Below are 22,106 nucleotides of genomic sequence, written 5' to 3'. Positions count from 1 at the left end.
GTCCTTTTCCCCCTCCCCTCCCAAACAATCTATGCACAGGAAGTAGAACAATTATTTGCACTCCAGGCTAACAGTCCTCTTGTATCTGTGGCTTTGGGTTCTCTTTCACTGTGCCTCTGCTGTTTATAGACAAGTTTGGCTTCCCTTGGCAACCCCTGAAACAGGTTCCCTCTGTGGCTCATACTTTTTTCAGAGGTATGTTTTGTCGAGGCAGAGGTGTGGTGCCTTTAGGTGGCTGGTGCTTGTCATGACAGGCATGGCATTAGCTGGGCCTAGCAGTGACTAGAAGTGACAGCATTGGTTCGAGGTGCCTGGGGGCCTCTCAGTCATCACTCCTGCTGGAGCATTGAGAATATGAAAGCACCTGAGAGCACCACTGCTTATCAAGGAGATAACAGTTTGGGAGAACAGGGCCAGGAGGTGACTGAGGACAGGCAAGTGCCTTTCCCTCCCTTTATTTTCTTGTAGTAGATTTTACTTGAAAGAGTGTCATATATGTGGCCTTTAGAAAGAAGGCATACAAACAAGCTTTGTCCAGGGCCACAAAAGAAGGGACCTTTGAATTTCCAGAAGTTTCAAGTCTTTTAATTTCTGTCATTAGACTTACAGTTTCTTTGTGTGTTGTATCATAAAATGACCAAACATTAAAAAACCAACCAAAAAAAACCCTTTAACACTTCAGGGAAAAGAGTCAATAAATAGTATATTATCCTCCTCACTGTCGTTAGACACATTACCTCCTTAGTGATAATGGTAGCGGTCACAGCCTATTTTTATGACTGATTATCAAAGGACCATGTCAGAAGTTTCTTATCACTCCTAACCATTGGGTTCCTTTGTAGATTTTCCAGGAATTAGTTTTAGATTCTCACTACTGATTAATGGACATATGTGTAATCTATGCAAAGAGCTACAAAATGTATTCATTAATCCATTCTACAAACTAAGATTAATTATAATTGTCTGTAGGCATCTTATAAGGTCACAATTCTAATATAATTTGATAGGAGCTGTTAGGGATTTGAATGAAATTTCAAAATCACCTCCACAGAGAAGGAAAAAGACCTTTAGAGAAAGTCAGTGAATGTTTTTATTGGGCAGAGCTTGAAGTTACTTCCTGAGATTTCTCTTCTTTCATAGTTCTGCTTTCTGGGTAGTCAAAGATCACCTGTTTAAAAAAGAAATAATTCCTGGATACCAAATGTTACTATAGTTATCAACATGAAGGCAATCAAAATTTTTCTGAGTAGATTTTAAATTGTTTTTGTTAAGTTACACATTTCAGTTGTAATTCTTTTTTTTTTTTTTGAAACAGGATCTCACTCTGTTGCCCAGGCTAGAGTGCAGTGGTGTGATCTCAGCTCACTGCAACCTCTGCCTCCCAGGCTCAAGCGATCCTCCTATCTCAGCCTCTCAGGTAGCTGGGAACACAGGGACATGCCACCACACCTGGCTAATTTTTTAATTTTTTTTTTTTTTTTTTGTAGAGACAGGATCTCACTATGTTACTCAGGCTGGTCTTGAACTCCTGAGCTCAAGTGATCCTCCCACCTTGGCCTCCCAAAGTACATGAGCCACTGTGCTTGGCCTGGCAGGTGTAATTCTTACATGTCACTATAGAACTATTTTATATATAATGTTTGACCTATAAACTTTTCTACTTGCTATTTTAGAAAAAGAATTTGTTGGTTAGAAAGTCACTGAAGAGAGTTTAATAAGAGTACTGTTTGTTTTTTAATAAACTATTTACTGTGGTTCTTGTAAATAAAACAAAGCAACTTAGTTAATTCTATTCAGGAAACTTAGCTCAATTTCCTAGTATGAAGAAGACTGATTTGATAGCTTGGAGTAGTAGAGACCTAATATGGTTTCAATCATTGTGTGGAGGAGGACATTACATTGATGAGACAAAACCATTTTCTAGGTTCTTGAAACTACTTGACCAATTACAGTAATTTGAAGGGGGCACTTCCTAAATAATATTAAGTTCAATTCATAGTATGAACTTTTGAGTTCAAGGCTTCTGTAATTTTTCTTGGCTTAAAAAAATATTCAAATTTATAGAATAGTAATGATGTTGGAACGTTTGATTAGATTTTAGTGTTCCACATAGTTGACTATAATAATTTCTGAACTACAATAGTTTCAGCTAGAATATTTCCATTTATTCAACACCACATTAATCTTTACTTACTTGTCACACAGCTTTTAAAAAAATCTGATGTGAATTTGCTTTATTGCATTTGACACGTTTGGGCAAATGACAACAACTTTGGTGTTTTTAAAATGTTCCAGTTCCAGAAATCAGCCTTCAATAAGCTTCAGGCAGTTTCCCAGTAAGTTGTTAATGGATTGCCATCTTTCTGCCTCTCTTTTAAATTTTTTCCTTAAAGGCCATACTGGGGGAAACTAACTAGTTCACTCTAGATGGCTGTACTAACCCTACTTTAAATACCACTGAGAGTTTAAAAGGCTGCGTTTTTGCATCTAGACTCACTTGGATTTGAATAACTGATCTCTGACCGTGGGCAAGTCTCTTAACTTCTGTGTCTTGATTTCTTCTATTTAAAAAGAAAGGCCTATTTTAGGTATGTATTAGGGTAATAGGAGGTAATGTTAGAAAACAGAGTCTAGTATGAAGCCTAATATATAGTAGAGGAGGGTACAATACTTAATAATTACTGTTGTTATAACCTCTTCCTCCCCGCAGCCTGCGCCTCCCAGGCTCAAACAATTCTCCTGCCTCAGCTTCCTGAGTAGCTGGGATTACGGGCATGTCACTACTACCCCAGCTTTTTTTTTTTTTTTTTTTTTTTTTGAGATGGAGTCTGGCTCTGTCGCCCAGGGTGGAGTGCAGTGGCGCGATCTCGGCTCACTGCAGGCTCCGCTTTCCGGGTTCATGCCATTCTCCTGCTTCAGCCTCCCGAGTAGCTGGGACTCCAGGCGCCCGCCACCGCACCTGGCTAACTTTTTGTATTTTTAGTAGAGACAGGGTTTCACCGTGTTAGCCAGGATGGTCTCGATCTCCTGACCTCGTGATCCGTCCGCCTTGGCCTTCCAGAATGCTGGGATTACAGGCATTACCCACCGTGCCCAGCCCCACCTGGCTAATTTTTGTATTTTTAGTAGAGATGAGGTTTCACCATGTTGGCCCAGCTGGTCTTGAACTCCTGACCTCAAATGATCCATCTGCCTCAGCCTCCCCAAAGTGCTGGGATTACAGGCATGAGCCACCACGCCCTGCTGGGTTCTTCTTAATTATAATACTCTTTCCCAAGCTCCTTGCAACTTCTACAGTTTAGCCTGATATGTTGTAACCTCTTGCTGTTTACACTGTCCACTCTTGTGGAGGTAGCTAAGACACTGACTGCCAGGGCATGTTTTATAGTCATATAAAATCTGTACAAAAGAAAGTTAATTTTCATTCAAGAAGCCAATAGCTTCTGGATCATTGCCTTGCATTGGAAATAATTTTTTTTTCTCTGTAGATAAAAGGTAAGCATTATTAAGTTATTAAAGCAAACAAATAACTGTAGTCATCCTGCCACTCCAAGAACAACAGGATCTAGAGTATAAAAGTAATATCAAAATTTCAGAGGCCTGCAGACCCTGTTGCTGTTTATCACTTTATCATTCTATTTCCTCCTTGAATCCTTTTTTTTTCTTTTTTTTTTTTTGAGACGGAGTTTTGTTCTTGTTGCCCAGGCCGTATTGCAATGGCGTGATCTTGGCTCACTGCAACCTCCGCCTCCTGGGTTGAAGTGATTCTCCTGCCTCAGCCTCCCGAGTAGCTGGGATTACAGGTGCGTGCCACCACACCTGGCTAATTTTTGTATTTTTAGTAGAGATGGGGTTTCACCATGTTGGCCAGGCTGGTCTCGAATTCCTGGCCTCAAGTGATCCACCCGCCTCGGCCTCCCAACGTTCTGGGATTACAGTGCTCCTGCCTCGGCCTCCCAAAGTTCTGGGATTACACTGCGCCTGGCCTACTTGAATCCTTTTAAGCCATCATTGCCCTGGTTAGGGGTTTTCCCATTGCTGTTTGATTTTCAGATTCATTAATTGAATACTAATCCACTTTAAACTTTTAGTGTTTTTTTTTTTTCCCTTTATACACTTGGCCTGTTTCATTTTAATGTTGAACAGTTGTTTGTCAACTTCAAAAAAGACCACTTGTTTATATAACATGATCTCTATTTGTGAGAAATATTTTTCCTCTAGGACCGTAGTAACCTTACTGAGTCTTAATATTCAGATATCATCAGTATGGAATAAAATATGACATGCTCTGAGAGTAACAAGCTTCCCACTTGGGAAGTACCTTTTCCTGGTGGCTTTTAATGAGAGGAAAGGCATAGTTATTTAAGCCTGGTTGTGGAGCTGAATAAACCTATCATTTGAATCTTGGTTCTTCTGCTTCCTAGCAATATAACCTTTGGCAAAACCTTTTACTTCTCTGGGCCTTATTATTGCTTTTTTTTTTTGGAACGAAATTTTGCTCTTGTTGCCCAGGCTGGAGCGCAATGGTGCGATCTCGGCTCACTGCAACCTCTGCCTCCTTGGTTCAAGAGATTCTTCTGCCTCAGCCTCCTGAGTAGCTGGGATTACAGGCACCTGCCACCACGCCCAGCTAATTTTTGTATATTTGGTAGAGACGGGGTTTCACCATGTTGACCAGGGTGGTCTTGAACTTCTGACCTTAGGTGATCCACCTGCCTCGGCCTCCCAAAGTGCTGAGATTACAGATGTGAGCGACCACGCCCAGCCCTTTTTTTTTTTTTTTTTTTTGAGACAGTCTCACTCTGTTGCCCAGGCTAGAGTGCAGTGGCATGATCTCGGCTCACTGCAGCCTCTGCCTCCTGGGCACAAGCGATTCTCCTGCCTCAGCCTCCTGAGTAGCTGGGATTACAGGCACCCACCATCACGCCTAGCTAATTTTTGTATTTTTAGTAGAGCTGGGGTTTCACCATGTTGGCCAGGCTGGACTTGAACTCCTGACCTGAAGTGATCCTCCTGCCTTGCCCTCCCAGAGTACTGGAATTGTAGGCATGAGCCACTACACCTGGCCTATTGCCATTTTTAGAGATAAAAAAAAAATACATATCTCACAGAGTTGTGGAAATTAAATGAGATGATATTTTCAGAGTGCTTGGTATGGGTACCTACTGGCATGAAACATAAAGGTAGTCTTAATAGTATATGATCTTTTGAATTTCTGTGGATATTGGTTTGGACTGCATATTTCTTTTTTTTTGAGAAGGAATCTTGCTCTGTCACCCAGTCTGGAGTGCAGTGGCATGATCTCAGCTCACTGCAACCTCCACCTCCTGGGTTGAAGTGATTCTGCTGCCTCCTGAGTAGCTGGAATTACAGGCACACACCACCACACCTGGCTAATTTTTGTATTTTTAGTAGAGACGTGGTTTCACCATGTTGGCCAGGCTGGTCTCGAACTCCAGACCTCAGGTGATCCACCCAGCTTGGCCTTCCAGTGTGCTGGGATTACAGGCATGAGCCATTGTGCCCAGCCTGGACTGCATATTTCTTATTAATGATTCCTTTTATGCTTGCTGACATTAGGGCATCATTTCTGCTGCTATGGTAGACTTTATTAAAAACGATGACACATTTCCAACTAGTATTTTTTAAATAGAAATGGATACACCATAATCTTATACCTGAATTAATAAAATCTGTCAAATACCATCTCTACTATTTGCTTTTTTCTTTGACCGTTTGTTGTACAGACAGCTTATAGGTTTTGTTTGTTTGTTTAAATACAGATGCAGAGGGTTGACTTCACCTCACTTCTTAATTCATGACTCAGTTTTGTCATTGGTTCATGCAATGTCCCTCTTTTGTTCACTAATTTTTGTTAGATTACTTGTTTGATTTTCTGATGGGGATAAGAGATGAAGGGACTTTTTTTTATTGCCAAGGTTCTGAGGTCCAGTGAAGCCAGAGTATATTGTTAAGATAGGATGTAAGAAATGGAAGAGATCTGCAGTATTCTCTAGCTAAAGTACTTCTTAACCGCTTTAAAAAATGCCTCACTCCTTTAAATGAATTTTTTTTAAAAATTCATTCCAGGCACTGTGGCACGTGCCTGTAACCTCAGCTACTTGGGTGGTTGAGGTGGGAGGCTCACTTGATTCCAGGAGTTTGAGACCAGCCTGGGCAACTTAGTGAGACCTCATCTCAAAACAACAACAGTAAAAACTAGTTCAGACTCTTCTCCATTAAAATTCATAGATCTAGTCTGAACTTTTTTGATGCTTGAGAAAACTGAGACTCAGATAAAAGACACAGTAATAATCACCATAATAATGGCCATCACTTTTTGACCATTTATTATGAATCATGAGCTCCTTGCCTGTGATCGAAATGTCATCTCTAGAGACACTTAAGCTCATGCAGCTCATTGTGGACTTCCATTTTGGTATTCTCTTTAAACTTCCAAACCGGTTCTCTCTCCCTTCCCTTCGTTTTTGGGTTTAATTTTTTTTTGAGACGGAGTCTCGCTTTGTTGCCCAGGCTGGAGTGCAGTGGCGCCATGTCGGCTCACTACAAGCTCCGCCTCCAAGGTTCACGCCATTCTCCTGCCTCAGCCTCCCAAGTAGCTGGGACTACAGGCGCCCGCCAACTCGCCCGGCTAATTTTTTGTATTTTTAGTAGAGACGGGGTTTCACCGTGTTACCCAGGATGGTCTTGATTTCCTGACCTCGTGATCTGCCCACCTCCGCCTCCCAAAGTGCTGGGATTACAGGCGTGAGCCACCGTGCCCGGCCTAAATTTTTTTTAATTTTTATTTTATAGTTGCAGTTGCAGGCTTGCCATTTTTGCTTGCAATTTCACATTGTATTAATTTTGGTCCATCTCCAGCCTCTTCCCCAGTCCTGCCTTTTCTATGACATTTTAGCTTGGCATTAGACTAACAACACAAACAATGCTTATGAACCATGCTTGCATCAAATGAATGAGATGAGTACATTGTCATATTGCTTCCTTTTTGAGAAAATTTGCTTTCAATCCCTGACCCTAAAACATAAAAGTAAATCAAATTTCAAGACGGCAGACATTAAAGAAAATATATGCCAAGTGTCCCAAGCAGTGCCTGGCACACACTGAAAACTCAGTAAATGCTTATTGAGTGACTAAAAGTCTCCAGTATGAGCAAAAGCTGTAAATCCTGGATCTACTTCTGTTGCTGGCCTAGTTCTTTCTGATTTGTTTAAGGCACGTTAAACCATACTCTGGCAAGGGAGAGGAATGAAGGAGTATTTGAGAAACACCTTCAGTGTGCCAGATGCTTTCATCAATACTGCTCAGTTTATCTCCACATCAGCCTTGTGGGTTTATGCCTCTTCACCTTTTTTATTTTTTGAATGAAGAAATGGGAACTCAGTTTAAACAGATTGTCCAAGATGTTTGAATTTGAATTGGGATCTTTCTGACTCTAGACCCTTATATTTTCCAGACATCCATAGCAGTATAAGAAATGATTAATTGCTGTTACTATTTTTAATTGCCATCATGATCATCATCATTATCACCTTTAGATTTTACAAAGTTGTCCTCAAATGGCAGCCTGTTGCCTCTAAAAAGGGTGGGACATTACTTTGCGAGGAGAGGAGAACATTAATGGTTCAGGCAGCAGTGTTTCTAGATCCTCTTATTCCTTACAGCACAAATCTACACCAGTCTCTTGTGTGTGTATGCAAATGGCTACCTGAGTAAGGGTGTTTGTTACCTGAGATCCCTTCCAGCTACTCAAGTCAAAGAGATTTTTAAGTTGGAATCAGAGTGTTCTGCCTATGTAATTTTGATATTTTAGATGGAAAAGTGAGCTGGAATGCAGGAAGGTTTTCCTAAATGGAAAGGCGGCTGCCTCTTCACCCTCTCCACTTTCTTTTTCTTTGTCAGTTGCTGGAGAGAGATGGCCAGTGACACAAAAGTCCTTCTAAACTTTGGGGAGTCCTAGATGGCTGGCAGATGAGATCACTTGATTCCAGTGAAACCTACCAGCTGCCTTAAATTCACTCTTCCAGAGCACCATACTTTTTATTACTAGATTGAATTATAGGATAAGAAAAGTGCTTTGAGCATCTTTAGACCGCACATGTAAGACTACATACTTGGGCCTGAGCCTCCCAGTTTGGAGTAGGGCCTCTTAAGGAAAAAAGAAAAAGCACACGTTATCCATGTTTGTGTGTGTGTATTGTGTCCTGTTTGCCCTTGAGATTAATTTTTTAACAAGTGCCGTGATTTCCCAGTTTTTCTTAGATTATATTTCTAATTGCTTTAATATTAGATTTGCCATTTATTTCACCTATCCTTGTTTTCCCTTGACTTTTTAAAATCTGCTGTCATTGTTATACTTTGTATATCTTTTTTATGGAAGGCAGCAGAAAAATTTGGAGGTTTGTCTAGAACAAACTCAGTTCAGTCAAGGGAAGGCTGCCCAGCTTGGTATTTAACAGCGCAGAACTGGCCTGTGTTTGTATTCTCTACTGAAGAGAGCGTGCACACCTACATGCCCCTGCATTGAGCTTCGTTTCCTTCATCTTGAAGTGGTGGTGTGAAGAACACTCAGATTTCCCACATAAATCAGGAAAGAGGGTTCATCAGAATCAACACTGGTTAAAAAGAGGTCTTAATGGAAGTGCCTAAGTATTGTCCAAACACGGGGGATAAATGTGTTCTGCTTTACTTGGCCAGAACAATGTCTCAAGCTAGTGATTAGGCTTTACTCCAGCTTTAACCTCAGGCAAAATTTATGCAGCTCTGCTACCGTTTGTCAGGTAATTAAAGGGAAAAAAGGGAAATGTTTGCTTAAAGTAGAAGTGTTTTTTAATTAAACATGAAAAATAATAAATAAACACAAGGGGCAAATAGGCAGTTGGGAAATTGTTTTTAACTTTCCAGTTAAAACATGAAGAACTTCAAGCAAAAGACCAATATTTTAGGCATGGCTGGTAGTTTATTCCTTACAGAGCATTATTCAGCTGTGCTAGAAATCCAAATTTGAGATTGTTCCATCTTTGTGTCGAAGAATGTAAGGCATAGTTACTCTGTCTTACTTGAAAGATAATGCCCCTTACCAGTTTTTGCTAACCACTAACTATTTACTTGGTAGGAGAAGAGTTCTTCAAAGTCAGAACCTGATAGAAAGCCAATAAATAGTAGTACAAATCTTGATGTGGGAAGCACAGATATAGCAGGAAGTTTAGGCTAAAAAGAAAGGGGGAAATAACCTCTTCCCTATTATGGTTAACCAGAGTATTAGTTGGATTGTGTTATGTCCAAAATTTATGTTAATGGATCCGCCACTCATCACCAAAGGCTGAACTCTATCATCATTGACTTATCTTTAGATCCCAGATCTTAGGGATTCTGCATCTATATACCCTCATTCTTACCTGCTATATTAAAGTTGACTGTGACCATTGCAGTTGCCTGCCTCAACTCTTTGAATAGTAGTATCCTTACAAACATTCCATATCTAATCTCTCCTACTGCTGTCCATCCTTCCTGTTGCTGCCAGGGAGATTTTACCTAAAGCTCAGTTTTGATCATGCTACTAATCTTTTCAAACTTTGCACAGCGTTTGAGTTTTCCATGCCATGGTCCTTAGACAGCTTACCATATCTGATCTATGTTTACCCTACACTCCAGCTGTACTTAATCTAGTTTAGCTGTTCTTTCAACACAATGCAGGGCTCTTTTCCTCTATCTCCTTGACTTTGCTTTTGGAGTGCTTTATTCTACACTTCTTAATTAAGTCCTTTAATTTGGGCAGCTGCTTTTCAAAGGCTGGTCAAACGAGTGTAAGTCTTGCTGATTATATATCATTATTATATAATTTCCTAGGGTCTTCCTTATAATTTCTTTTCATGGTAGCTTATTCCTTACACTGAATATTTATACTTTGAGGGTTTGGGGGTGGCAAGTTAGAGATAATCATCTGAAGTGTTTGTTTCCTTGGAGATCATAAGGTAAAGTGAATAACATTATCTCTCTTGAGTGTCTTAGAACTAATAGGGAAGAAAAAAGCACTTGTCAATCCCAATGGACAGATGTGATTTATCTTGGTATGTCTTTGAGAGGTAGAATCACCATAATGTATAGGAGCCCCCCTAGATATTTGGTGGGTGTGGCATTTGGCACATTATGTTGAATTTCCCTGCTTCTCTTCCCAACAGTAATCCTTGAGCCATTTTTTGTTGTTTGAACAGTATCTAGCTGATATCTGTTATCTCAAACATTGCCATTTAGTGGTGGTCATCTGTTTACCCATAAGGTGAAATGTTACTGAGGACACTTCCAAAGGTAGTTTAACTGTGATCTCTTTGTTTGGGTTTGCATGCATTTCTGAATATATAAATACAAACTTGGATAATTTAGGGGTAATTACCTATATTAGCAAATAGTGGTTTATGAAAGGAGTAAAATTTCTTTTAAATAGTAAGGCTTCTCTAGGCCCTTTGAATATTTGAGTTGCAAAATACTGATCACAACCTGAAGGAAAACGTCTGTTGTATAAAGCTAAACATATCTATATATCTATGCCAATAAAGACATATTGAGTGCCTAGATATATGAAAGGGAGAGTGTGTGTGTATGTGTGTGTCCCTGTGTGCACTCACGTGCTGGCCCACCAACTATATAAATATGTACCCTCCTGTATTCTTTACCTTATAGACAAGGCAAAAACATTTATCATTGCTCTTGCCTGGAGTTATGTCCACCTTCATCTTACTGCAAGTGTCAGAGCAACCTACAAAATAGTAGATGAGGAGATGAAACAAGTAGGGCCAGAAAACATTGTCCACAGCCCAGTGGTCCGTGTCACCATTCTTCTGCTTCTAGCATATATTGCATAATCAGGACAGACGAGACAAGCCAAATCCTTTTAGTACACCGTGTCTGGGGAGGTTATGGAGTCTCAGAGATTAGTTGTCATTTTAACAGTCTCGATTGTGACAAGATCTTGGAAGTCATCTGAGAATGTCATGAAAACCATATTCCCATTGCTTTTATTTCTGCTGGACACTTACTGGGTGGGGAACATGTTTGATATATATAAAACAAAAACAAAAAAACAAAAAACCAACCAAGTGAAAAACCTATGTTCTTTGCATTGAGGTCACATTAAGAATACCTCCTCTTCTACAATTCAACCAAAGCTCTTGCAAGAAAATGAGTTTGCTTTATTTGTATTTATAATGAATCATTGTAATTGCAGCTAGAAGCTTTGTAGTTATGATTATTCATCCCCTCTTTCCATTCTCACAGAAATGTCAGGTTCAGGATAGATTTTTAAGACTCTAAAAATAATGGTTTTTTGGCTGGGCGCGGTGGCTCACGCCTGTAATCCCGGCACTTTGGGAGGCTGAGGTGGGCGGATCATGAGGTCAGGCGATCGAGTCCATCCTGGCTAACACGGTGAAACCCCGTCTCTACTAAAAATACAAAAAATTAGCCGGGCGTAGTGGCGGGCGCCTGTAGTCCCAGCTACTCGGGAGGCTGAGGCAGGAGAATGGCGTGAACCCGGGAGGTGGAGCTTGCAGTGAGCCGAGATCGCACCACTGCACTCCAGCCTGGGCGACAGAGCCAGACTCCGTCTCAAAACAAAAAAAAAAAATGGTTTTTCTGCTTGCTTCCGTTATGGTAATGTTGTGGGTATATAGACCTTTAGGAGTTTTTCTTCTTTTTGAGACGGAGTCTCGCTCTGTCCGAGGCTGGAGTGCAGTGGCGCCATCTCAGCTCACTGCAACCTCGGCCTACAGGGTTCCAGTGATTCTCCTGCCTCAGCCTTCCAAGTAGCTGGGGCGTCACCACGCCCGGCTAATTTTTGTATTTTTAGTAGAGACAGGGTTTCACCATGTTGGCCAGGCTGGTCTCCAACTCTTGACCTCAGGTAATCCGCCCACCTCGGCCTCCTAAAGTGCTGGGATTACAGACGTGAGCCACCGCGCCCGGCCAGGAATTTTTCTATTTTGAAAATTTATATTGTTTTTCTTGAGGTAACCAGAGACACTAAAATATACTACTAAGTGTGTGTTTTGTTAGTATTGTTTTTGTCCTGTTAATTAGCAGTTTTATTTTTATTTTATTTTTGTTGCTTAACATTTTTCAGAAGTTATAGCTAAACGTATTTTGAATGAATCCAACTGGAATGTTAGTTTTTAAAAATAAATTTTGTTTCAACCTGTGCAGCTGTAGTTTACTTTCCAGGCATGAGAAATATCTATTTTATTAAGTCCTATGAGGAATATGTGTCACACACATTTAAGAAAAAACTGTTTAAGATGAAACACTCCAAAAATGACTTCCCCCTGGTGTGAAGTAAAACAAAAGCCTCAATTGCATCTCTGCCTGTGGTAATGACACGAGGTGACAAACTGCAGGCAGGTGAGGTTTGTGGGGATGATCTCACACCTGCACCTCGAGCTTGGGGAACAGATGGGTTTGGAGCTGGCGTCTGGCCTTGCTTTCTTTTTGATACGAGACCAGCTCTCAGGCTGGGAGCCCCCACATTTGCACAGAAGACTCCCAAGTGTTTTAACATAGGCAGATGGGACTGCTGGTGGATAATATTCCCTGGTTTTGTGAATCTTTTTCTTGGGATGGAGAGGTGAAGAAGCCCCAGCGCAAGCACCACCAACCTCCAAGCCCAGAGCCCTTACATCAAGCCAGAGCTTTGCCTGCCAGGCAGGTTTCACTTCAGAAACCCAGAGACTGAGGATCTGTGCCCTCTTCAGTCTTAGTTCTGTAGCCAGGCAGGTAGCAAAAGGTGAACCCAGTTGAAGGGTTCCTTCCCTGCCAGTCCCTGCTTCATTCCCCTGCAGCTGATCAGCAGAACTCTGGAAGCAGTTAAGGCTGGAAAACCTTGTGGGCAGGCAGAGCTCTTTCTGCAGTAGCACTCAGAGATGACTTCTGATTAATTCTTTTTCACACCTCCCTAAAGAAATCAGGTATGTATACCTCTGAAGGGAAGGTCAAGGTAGATTTCTGTTTGAGACCTCCGCTGCATCATCTAACCCAACTCAAGACAGCTTTGTAGAAACCATCAGGCCCACCAATGTTTTACTGCTTTGCCCCCTTCACTAAGGCCATTCACTAGGGGCTCTTCTTTTCCTTTCAACACTAGTGTTGTCTTGGCAAATGCGTTTTTGGAGTGCCTCCACATGCATAGCTTCCCAGGGACATTTTGCAGAAAGGTTTGCACTCCTTTCTTAAGAGCAGTTCTGCTGCCTCATTTCTGTTTACATATGTACTGAATAGTCAGTCCATGTCTAGCCTTCACATGGGTTTGATTTTCCCTGTACACTGTTTTTTTTTTTTTTTTTTTTTTTGAGATGGAGTTTCACTCTTGTTGCCCAGGCTGGAGTGCAATGGCTCGATCTCGGCTCACCGCAACCTCCGTCTCCCTGGTTCAAGTGATTCTCCTGCCTCAGCCTCCTGAGTAGCTGGCATTACAGGTGCCCGCCACTATGCCTGGCCAATTTTTGGTATTTTTAGTAGAGATGGGGTTTCACCATGTTGGCCAGGCTTGTCTTGAACTCCTGACCTCACATGATCCACCCGCGTTGGCCTCCCAAAGTTCTGGGATTACAGGCGTGAGCCACCGTGCCTGGCCCCCTATACACTGTGGTTTTTTTGGTTTTTTTTTTTTTTGGTCTTTTGAGACGAAGTCTCGCTCTGTTGCCCAGGCTGGAGTGCAGTGGCACGATCTTGGCTCACTGCAAGCTCCGCCTCCCGGGTTCATGCCATTCTCCTGCCTCAGCCTCAGTCCCAGAGTAGCTGGGACTACAGGCGCCCGCCACCATGCCTGGCTAATTTTTTGTATTTTTAGTAGAGACGGGGTTTCACTGTGTTAGCCAGGATGGTCTTGATCTCCTGACCTTGAGATCTGCCCGCCTCAGCCTCCCAAATTGCTGGGATTACAGGCGTGAGCCACTGCGCTGGCCCCTGTACACTGTTTTAAAAGAGTTCGAGCCCCTTTTAAAAAAAATTTGGGGAGATTTCATATGACAGCTCAGAGTTCTGGTTTCTCTTGAAAAAGAGAAGGATGATCTAGCAACTGGAGGGTCTAGCAACACCTTGTCTACATTCCCATGGAACTCTGAGGTAGGGTATCTGGCTAGCGGCTTTTCTCTTTGGATCACTGGCTTTAAGCATTTTTGACATAGACATGTGCATGAACTTATCCTTACTATGTGTGATGCATTTTGTTCAGTTTCATTTAAGCACAAATGGTTAAGAGCCACTAAAATGATTTTCACCATCCACCAATGCCTGTGACCTGCAGTTTGAGAAGCAGTGCTTGGGATTTGGCTGCAGGGTCTGCTTGCCAGGGCCTTCCCCATGAATGTGCATCACTGCTTAACTCCTGGCCTGCAGCGGCAGCATCTGGTTTCACAGACTCATTGTCATTGTCATTCACATGAGGTAAACAAACAGCTCTGTGGGACGCCTAGCCTGTAGCCCCTATTTAGGCTGTGGGTATCCAGGTGAGGACTGGTCTTTTCACGACTCCTTGGTTTTGCAAGGCTGAAGACAAAGGCAGAGTGAATGCCTGTCTTGTGTCTCACCTCAGCTTCTAGCCCCACCCCTGCCAAGGTAAATGAACGGGGAGAAAATATGCTGTCTTGTGGAAGACTACACTAAGCCTGTCCTATGGATTGCATAACAGTGGGCCCTAGTAGACAGGTCAGGGACAATTCATATTATAATGATATTCTTTTTATAAAGCAAAGCAAGTTTTTAACCATAAGTTACCTTAGTGGCTTTACATTTGCATTACAGATTTTTAAGTACTGTCATTAATTGAGATGGGTCAGTAGGCAGGGGGCAGAAAAAGACTAAAGAGCTTCTTTAATCATACCTTTGCATTTTATCATCCTAGAGGGGAGGCAGAGAAGCCTCTTACTCATCAGGACCATCAATGGACCATGGCCATCAAAGCATTGATTAGGAAAGATGAAGCATCTTTTTATACAATTTAAATAATACATTCTTATTCAGCCATTCAAATTTTATTCCTTTATCATATAGAAAGAACTCAGAATTTTGAGTCAGAAGATGTGGCTTCTTGTTCTGGGCACACTGTTTTCTTTTTTTGTGTTTTTGAGACAGAGTCTTGCACTGTCGCCAGGCTGGAGTGCAGTGGTGTGCTCTCAGCTCACTGCATCCTCTGCTTGCAGAGTTCAAGCAATCCTGCTGCCTCAGCCTCCCGAGTAGCTGGGACTACAGGCACGCGCCACCACACCCAGCTAATACTCAGTACATTACAACGCATTCGGTCTTGGTTCAGGAGACTCCTGAATTGCTGTGCATTGAGTTTTTAGGAAGGGAATTCAGCAGGTACACCCTCGTTTGACCTATTGAAAGCTGGTGTGGAAATAAAAGTATCACATATTTATTTGCATAAGTCTGTGACAGAAGCAAAAACTGGACCGAGAGAGTTCTTGCTCCTCATCCCAGGGCTCTTATCCTAACACTGAAGTTATTGGATTTCTGCAATCGAAGGCATTTTTTTTTCCATAAAAAAAAATTGAGCTTTCTGATGTTTTCAAATCTCTCCTAGCCCTAATGTGTTGAGTGATAACACACTGTAGACCACTGAAAAGGTCATCAGAGAGTGATCCAGGAGGGGGCTTGTTTTTGGCTCTTATCTCATTGTCAACAGTTCTTCCTCTAGCGGCAGCTCCCATCACATGCAGCGCTGAGACAAGGCCCTTGTTCTGACAAAGGGCACTTAGACCCAGGCCATTTAAGCCTCAGCCGAAACAACTGATCTACTTTAGAATTTGATATGAAACAATTCTGGTATCTAAGAAGTTGCCTGGGAACCAGTGTTGTGCCTGGTTCCAAGTCTGTGAATGAGCTGTTGTCAGATGGCAGAGATGAGCCTCTCTTCTCAGTATGGCTGGTGAAAGAGGAGGTGGAGCTCTCTTCTTTAGGGGACAGCCAAGTACATTAGTACCTCTGTTTTTTGGTCTGGGAAGTAGGAGATTTATGTTCTTTTCCTGTCCCAGTCACCAGCTTGCTTGCCTTGGGCTAGTTGCTTTCAGAGTCTCTGGGCCTCAAAGCAATTCACAGACCTTACAGTGTTTATTTTGCTACCCAGGTTTTAGATCTTTATTGTAGCTACTCTTATTTTTTTCTATTTTATAAATAGGAAAATTGAAGTTGAAATAAAAAAAAAAGCTTGGGCAACATAGCAAAACCCCATCTCTACAAAAAAACATTGGTCAGTTGTGGTCACATACGCCTGTAGTCCCAGTTACTCAGGAGGCCGAGGTGGGAGGATCACTTGAGCCTGGGAAGTTGAGGCTCCAGTGAGCCGTGGTCACACCACTGCAGTACAGCCATGGTGACAGAATGAGACTCTGTCTCAAAAAAAAAAAAAAAAAAAAAAAAAAAGTTGCCCAAGATCACACAACTAGGATATTGATAGATTCAGGCCTGGGGCTCAGGTTGGTGTGATTCCAGGGCCTGACAGCTGTTAGCCTCTACCTCTAACTTTTAATTTGAGGGATCCTTCTAATGGGAATAGCACAGGATTCTAGGCTCTGCTGTTTGTCAAATAAATTTTAATGAAATAAACCGAGAGAATAATAATGAAAATGGTGGGTAATTAGCCTAACAAAAGATAATTTGCTGTCAGTATTCTATTAGTGTGTATTTCTTATTGTTCATTTATTCTTCCTGTGTTTAAAAAATTTTAAGGTTGAATATTGAAATACGTCTAACACTTGTAGCTATCAGAAACATACTCTGAAATTTTGTTATTCTTTAAATAGGTGAGTTACACATTTTTAATACTCATATAATTAACATATATGGCCCACCTCCTTTTTGCCAGGTTCTGTGCCATGTATTATTATTCTTATTTTACAGACAAGGAAACTTAAGCTCAGAAAGTTAATTATCTTGTCTGACTGCCACATAGGTAGCCATGCTAGGATTTGCCTATGTTCTTTTATTCTACAAAGTATATTTATAAAATTCTATTTTTGGATATTATGAGTTTATCTGTTAGGAAATTTTTAAGTTCATTTCTCACTCCAGAGTGAGAAAAAAGGCATTCTAGACAGAAAGATAATTTTCAGGTGTCAGAAATCACTTTCTAACTGGAATTTTTTATATTTTAGATAACAATAGCTTTATGTTAATCAATGAATTAGTTACAGGTCTTTATCCTCAATGGGTTCAATTAAACAATTTAGTAATGTAAGCAGGAATTAAGTGTCTTCTGTCACTCTTTTACTTCCTTCCCACAGATAGTGTTTAGAACGTTTTAGGTCCCTCTCTTCATGGAGCATTTCCCTGTTGACCTCCCCTCCCTCCACCTCCTTCTCATTTTCTTTCTTCATTTTGCTGTAACCTTCTCCCCAGTAAAACTTCCATCTTTTTTAATTGCATGAAGAGACAATTGGTGCATATTGCAAAACAGGATATATTTTGTAGACTGATGTAATAATATGGTATCTTATTTCTTTTTGTGATCATGGGAAGATTTAGAAGAAGATTTGGGTTAATAAAATGATAGTTTCTGTCCTATAAACCTTGTTTTCATGGAAATTGATACTATGTTGTGTTCTGATACTTAAAAATAACTTTCTGTAGATAACATTTAATGCATTTGCCATTATTCTTATTCATTCTAGTCATAAAGAGATCTGTGGTGTTGACACTGACTTTTTATTGTCCCAGAATGGTAAGTTGTCAGGTGGTTTCAAACAAGAAGGATACTAAAACTTAAAAACACTTGCATAGGAAAGAGAAATATAACTTTGCCTAATGGAAATTGTTAGTCATAGATAATAATCATGATATTAGTCAAGAAAGTATAATCTGCTTAACATTACATTGGGTCTAACCTGAAAAAAAGAGAAGAAAGTAGACTATTTCTTATCAAAGTTAAATTTATAGCACACCTCTACTATAAAGCCTAGTGAGTGCTGCACTGACAAAGACAGATTCTGGATGGTCTCTTTCTGGTCAGCATGCAGAGCTGGCAATCTGGGGAGAGAGTTTCTATTCTCAGTTTAATTCAAGGATAGTTTCTGACACCTGTTAACTTCCTCCACCTATGCCAAACCAGGTTTTCAGTCTGATTAGGGGACAATTTAGAATCTTAAAACATGTTTTGAACCCATAGGGAGACTGTAGTTTCTTGTTGAGAACTGTAAGATAGGAAGAACTAATATGAAGAAGTTACATTAAGGCTGTTACTTAAGCAGAGATGTTATAAACTGTCCTTATTTTTCTGGGTCTTTCTCTGATTTCTCCAACACCCCTTCAGACAAACATATACAACTTTGCCTGGGTAATTAGAAAATAAAAAGCAACACTTTACTTATGGCGTAATTTCCCAGGATTATTGGGTATTGACAACAAGTTTTAATCAAGCTAAACTTTGCTTAAATTCCTTCTTATCATTATGTTCCAAGTGAACCTTCAAAATAGCACTCCGTTCCTCTGCATTATTTCCTTCCTTCTTTCTTTTCTTTTCTTTTTTCTTTTTTAGAAAGAAACTAAGCCTCACTCTGTCACCCAGGCAGGGGTGCAGTGGCACTATCACTGCTCACTGCAGTGATCCCACCATGTTGCCCAGGCTGGTCTTGAACCCTTGGGCTCAAGTGATCCTCCTGCTTTTGCCTCCCAGAACGCTGGGATTATAGGCATGAGCTACTGTGCCTGGCCTATTTTCTTTAAATATTTGAGTATTTTTATATCACCCCCTGTTAAAGCTTTAGCCAAGGTCATTTACAAAAAACTGATTTAATATCTGTTTAATCTTCAGTATTCTCCCCTTTTAAATCATTTTGGGACTGGTTTGAGACTTTCCCTCAGTTTGGTCACACCTTTCCTTCTTTAAGGGCATTGCTTCTCTCTGCTTCATTGGGGAAGCAAATCATTTGTACTGTTTGCTTCACAAACTATTTCACATTAGAATCAAAATATACTGTTACACTAAAAATTTGTAATCAGTTACCAATATAGGTAAAATATATCTTAATGTATCAGTATTTAATGCCTGAGCATCAAACTTTTCACATTCCCATCTGTGTTTTACATTTAAGTGAATTTTATTTTTAAGCCATTAGGTTTTTTTGCCCCTCCCTACTAAAGCAGAATTCAGAAGGGACACTGTGTTTGCGTGTGTGTGTGTGTGTGTGTGTGCATGTATGCAAATTATACATGTAAGTACTTTAATTTGTTCATTGCAGTTTCTCATGCAGTTTCCATGTAGTTTAAAATGAATTTCCTGCCAGGCACAGTGGCTCACGCCTGTAATCCCAGCACTGTGGGAGGCTGAGGCAGGCGGATCACCTGAGGTCAGGAGTTCGAGACCAGCCTGACCAATATGATGAAACCCCGTCTGTACTAAAAATACAAAAATTAGCCAGGCTGTGGTGGCACGCGCCTGTAATCCCAGCTACTCGGGAGGCTAAGACAGGAGAATCACTTGAACCGAGGAGGCGGAGGTTGCGGTGAGCTGAGATCGTGCCATTGTACTCCAGCCTGGGGAACAAGAGCTAAACCCTGTCTCAAAAAAAAACCAACAAAAAAATAATGAATTTCCTTTGAATGAAACAATAGCCAGGGAATTCATGTGTTTGGCTACATTCACATAGAAATTTGACTGTGCTTATGTAGCCTTGCAGACCTTTGCATAAAGTCTTCCAGATTCTAAAGATGGCATGTGTTCTCTGACAAACCCTACTATGTCCATGGATTATTTATAATGCTCATTTGAAGATTCGAGATAGTTTTATATTGATCCAGTGGTGTTACCTACCAAACAGATCCCCACACCACTTTTTTTTCTTTTGAGACGGAATCTCAGTCTGTCACCCAGGCTGGAGTGCAATGGCGTGGTCTCGGCTCACTGCAACCTCCACCTCCCGAGTTCAAGAGATTCTCCCACCTCAGCCTCCCGAGTAGCTGGGACTACAGGCGCATGCCACCACACCCGGCTAATTTTTGTATTTTTAGTAGAGACGGGGTTTCACTGTATTGGCCAGGCTGGTCTCAAACTCCTGACCTTGTGATCCGCCTGCCTCGGCCTCCCAAAGTGCTGGGATTACAGGCGTGAGCCACTGCACCCGGCCTCTCCACACCACTTTTAAACCACACCAGGATCTCCCCCAAGCAGTGAAAATACATTTTCTGACATGTGAAATAAATGCACCATTTGCTTGCAAATACTAATATTTGAGTGGCTGTTCATTCTGTGCGTATCATACTCCACTTCGTGTTCCAGTTGGTTTTTAAGGAATTGGAGAGATCCTCTAAAAACAACCTATCTCCAGGACATGCAGTTTTATTTTGAAAAATTGAAAGGGAAATAACCTCTGTTTTCATGAGCGGTCATGTGCTGAGGCATATATCTCATGTCCAGCATATGTGCTTGTGAGCATCTGCATGTATATGCATGCATAGAGTATAGCATACTAAGACAGTGGAGTCTAGATTTGGACTTGATACTGCAGCTTTCTAGCTGTGACCACGAGGAAGTCAGTTAACTTCCATGTGTTTCAATGCCCTCATCTGTAATTTGGAGACAATGATAGTACTTACATCAAAACGTTCTGGGGATTGTGTATTTGCATGTGAAATATTTAGAACAGTTAGCCGATAATGAGTGTTTAATCATTGTGCATTACTTTTAGAATAAAATTATTTTATGATGCTTTATTGACAAGAATAATAACTCATATGCAAATCTTTCCTCAAAGAGTTAAATTTTATAGCTAGCGGCAAACTACTGTGACATTTCATTTTGTAAGTATAGTTCTGTACATCATTTTCTTTAGCGTGGAGCAGGCAGAAGCCTGAAAGAGTTAAAAGTATTTCCTTGTTTTTCAGGCTTTAATTTAGGCTCATTGTTATACAAAAACTGTTAGCCTGGGTAAAGCTGCACCTTGAGCACTGATGTAAACTGAGTTTTTCAAAGTACATTAAAATTTGCCATAGTCTTCCCTTGACGATTGAGAGATTTGCATCTGGTAGCGATTCACTCAGCCGAATGCAAGATCGCACTCCTTAGAGTGCTGATAAGCGGACACATGACATTTGCAAAGAGCAGTTTGCCCACTCGAGTGCCAGGGCAAACTGGAGAAAATTCTGTGCTTCCAATTTCATCAGAAACGTAGGGAATATTGCAAATGACACTACCAAATCAACTGTAAATAGATGATAATTTGATTGACATCTGGAAAGCTGTCACCGGCTGAGTAGCCCATAACAGGAACATTTACTGAGTGCAAAGGCAGCTTTCAAGTAAATCACTTTTTGTCCAGTGGGGCCCAGCCAGATTATAATTGCATGTCCTTCCCTTCATTGCAAATTCCCCATTACCGTTACCAGCAGTGTCTCATTTAAAGGAAGGTTGTCTTCCAAATATTCACAATGTCTCATGTTAACTCGTCACTTCCCTCCTTGAAGGCTTGCTATGTGCTGGATAATCCAGCCCTTGCCTCCCTTCGTTGTAATAAAACTCATTAACTTTGCTCTTTTTGGGGCAGAGGTACGTATTATAAATTAGCTGTTAGGTGAAATATAGCATGACTAAAGTTGAGGGCTAAAACATTTCCAGCAGGATTTCAGCACTGTCCTCAGAATTGTCTCCACTGTCACTTTTGAATAAATGTTTTGGCACTGATGATTTTTGAAATGGCAGCATTTCACAATTGAGCCAAGGAGTGGTGCCTTCCTGCTTTGTTGGAAACACACAGGATACATCTAGAGCTGGTGTTCATTCTGGGTCCTTCTGCAAGTCCAAATGTTTAGGAATATAGGAAAACTACAATCACTAAAACAGATGGCCATTTAGAGGTTCACTTGTAGATAGATTATGAAGTGAGAGACACTTGGGGAGAATATTAAGTCAATGTCTGTGTGATGGTCTACTCTATTTTACCAACCAAATATTTGCTACCTGGTTTTAAAAATGCAATAGCTTATGAATAAGTTTGCCAAGTAGTACAAAGTTGCGTGTCTTTATTCCCCAAAGTTAGTGACCCTCCATTTGGTCAAGAAAATGAAGGGAAAACATCATACTTGCTTTGCCTATTTCCAAATCCAGA

General features: G+C 41.0%; 1 protein-coding gene across 28 annotated transcripts in view, besides 3 other annotated features; it reads left to right on the top strand.

Annotated features, from left to right (window-relative positions):
- BNC2 (basonuclin zinc finger protein 2) overlaps positions 1 to 22,106 on the top strand; it is a 461,168-nt gene that overhangs the window by 45,760 nt on the left and 393,302 nt on the right. The gene's annotated exons all lie outside the window — the stretch shown is intronic.
- Positions 13,867 to 14,395: an enhancer, noted in NCBI's record as "OCT4-NANOG-H3K27ac-H3K4me1 hESC enhancer chr9:16810514-16811042 (GRCh37/hg19 assembly coordinates)". NCBI's record gives its function as "activates a minimal SCP1, AML or CMV promoter by ChIP-STARR-seq in primed H9 embryonic stem cells {active_cell/tissue: H9 hESC(primed)}" and the evidence as "EXISTENCE:reporter gene assay evidence [ECO:0000049][PMID:30033119]".
- Positions 14,396 to 14,923: an enhancer, noted in NCBI's record as "OCT4-NANOG-H3K27ac hESC enhancer chr9:16809986-16810513 (GRCh37/hg19 assembly coordinates)". NCBI's record gives its function as "activates a minimal SCP1, AML or CMV promoter by ChIP-STARR-seq in primed H9 embryonic stem cells {active_cell/tissue: H9 hESC(primed)}" and the evidence as "EXISTENCE:reporter gene assay evidence [ECO:0000049][PMID:30033119]".
- Positions 15,626 to 15,920: an enhancer, noted in NCBI's record as "tiled region #8712; K562 Activating non-DNase unmatched - State 24:Quies". NCBI's record gives its function as "activates a minimal TATA promoter and a strong SV40 promoter by Sharpr-MPRA in K562 cells {active_cell/tissue: K562}" and the evidence as "EXISTENCE:reporter gene assay evidence [ECO:0000049][PMID:27701403]".

Source organism: Homo sapiens, chromosome 9 (genome assembly GCF_000001405.40).
Source record: "Homo sapiens chromosome 9, GRCh38.p14 Primary Assembly".
NCBI lineage: Eukaryota > Metazoa > Chordata > Mammalia > Primates > Hominidae > Homo > Homo sapiens.
Note: the sequence above shows the minus strand (reverse complement) of the source record. Positions and strands in the feature narration are given on the sequence as shown.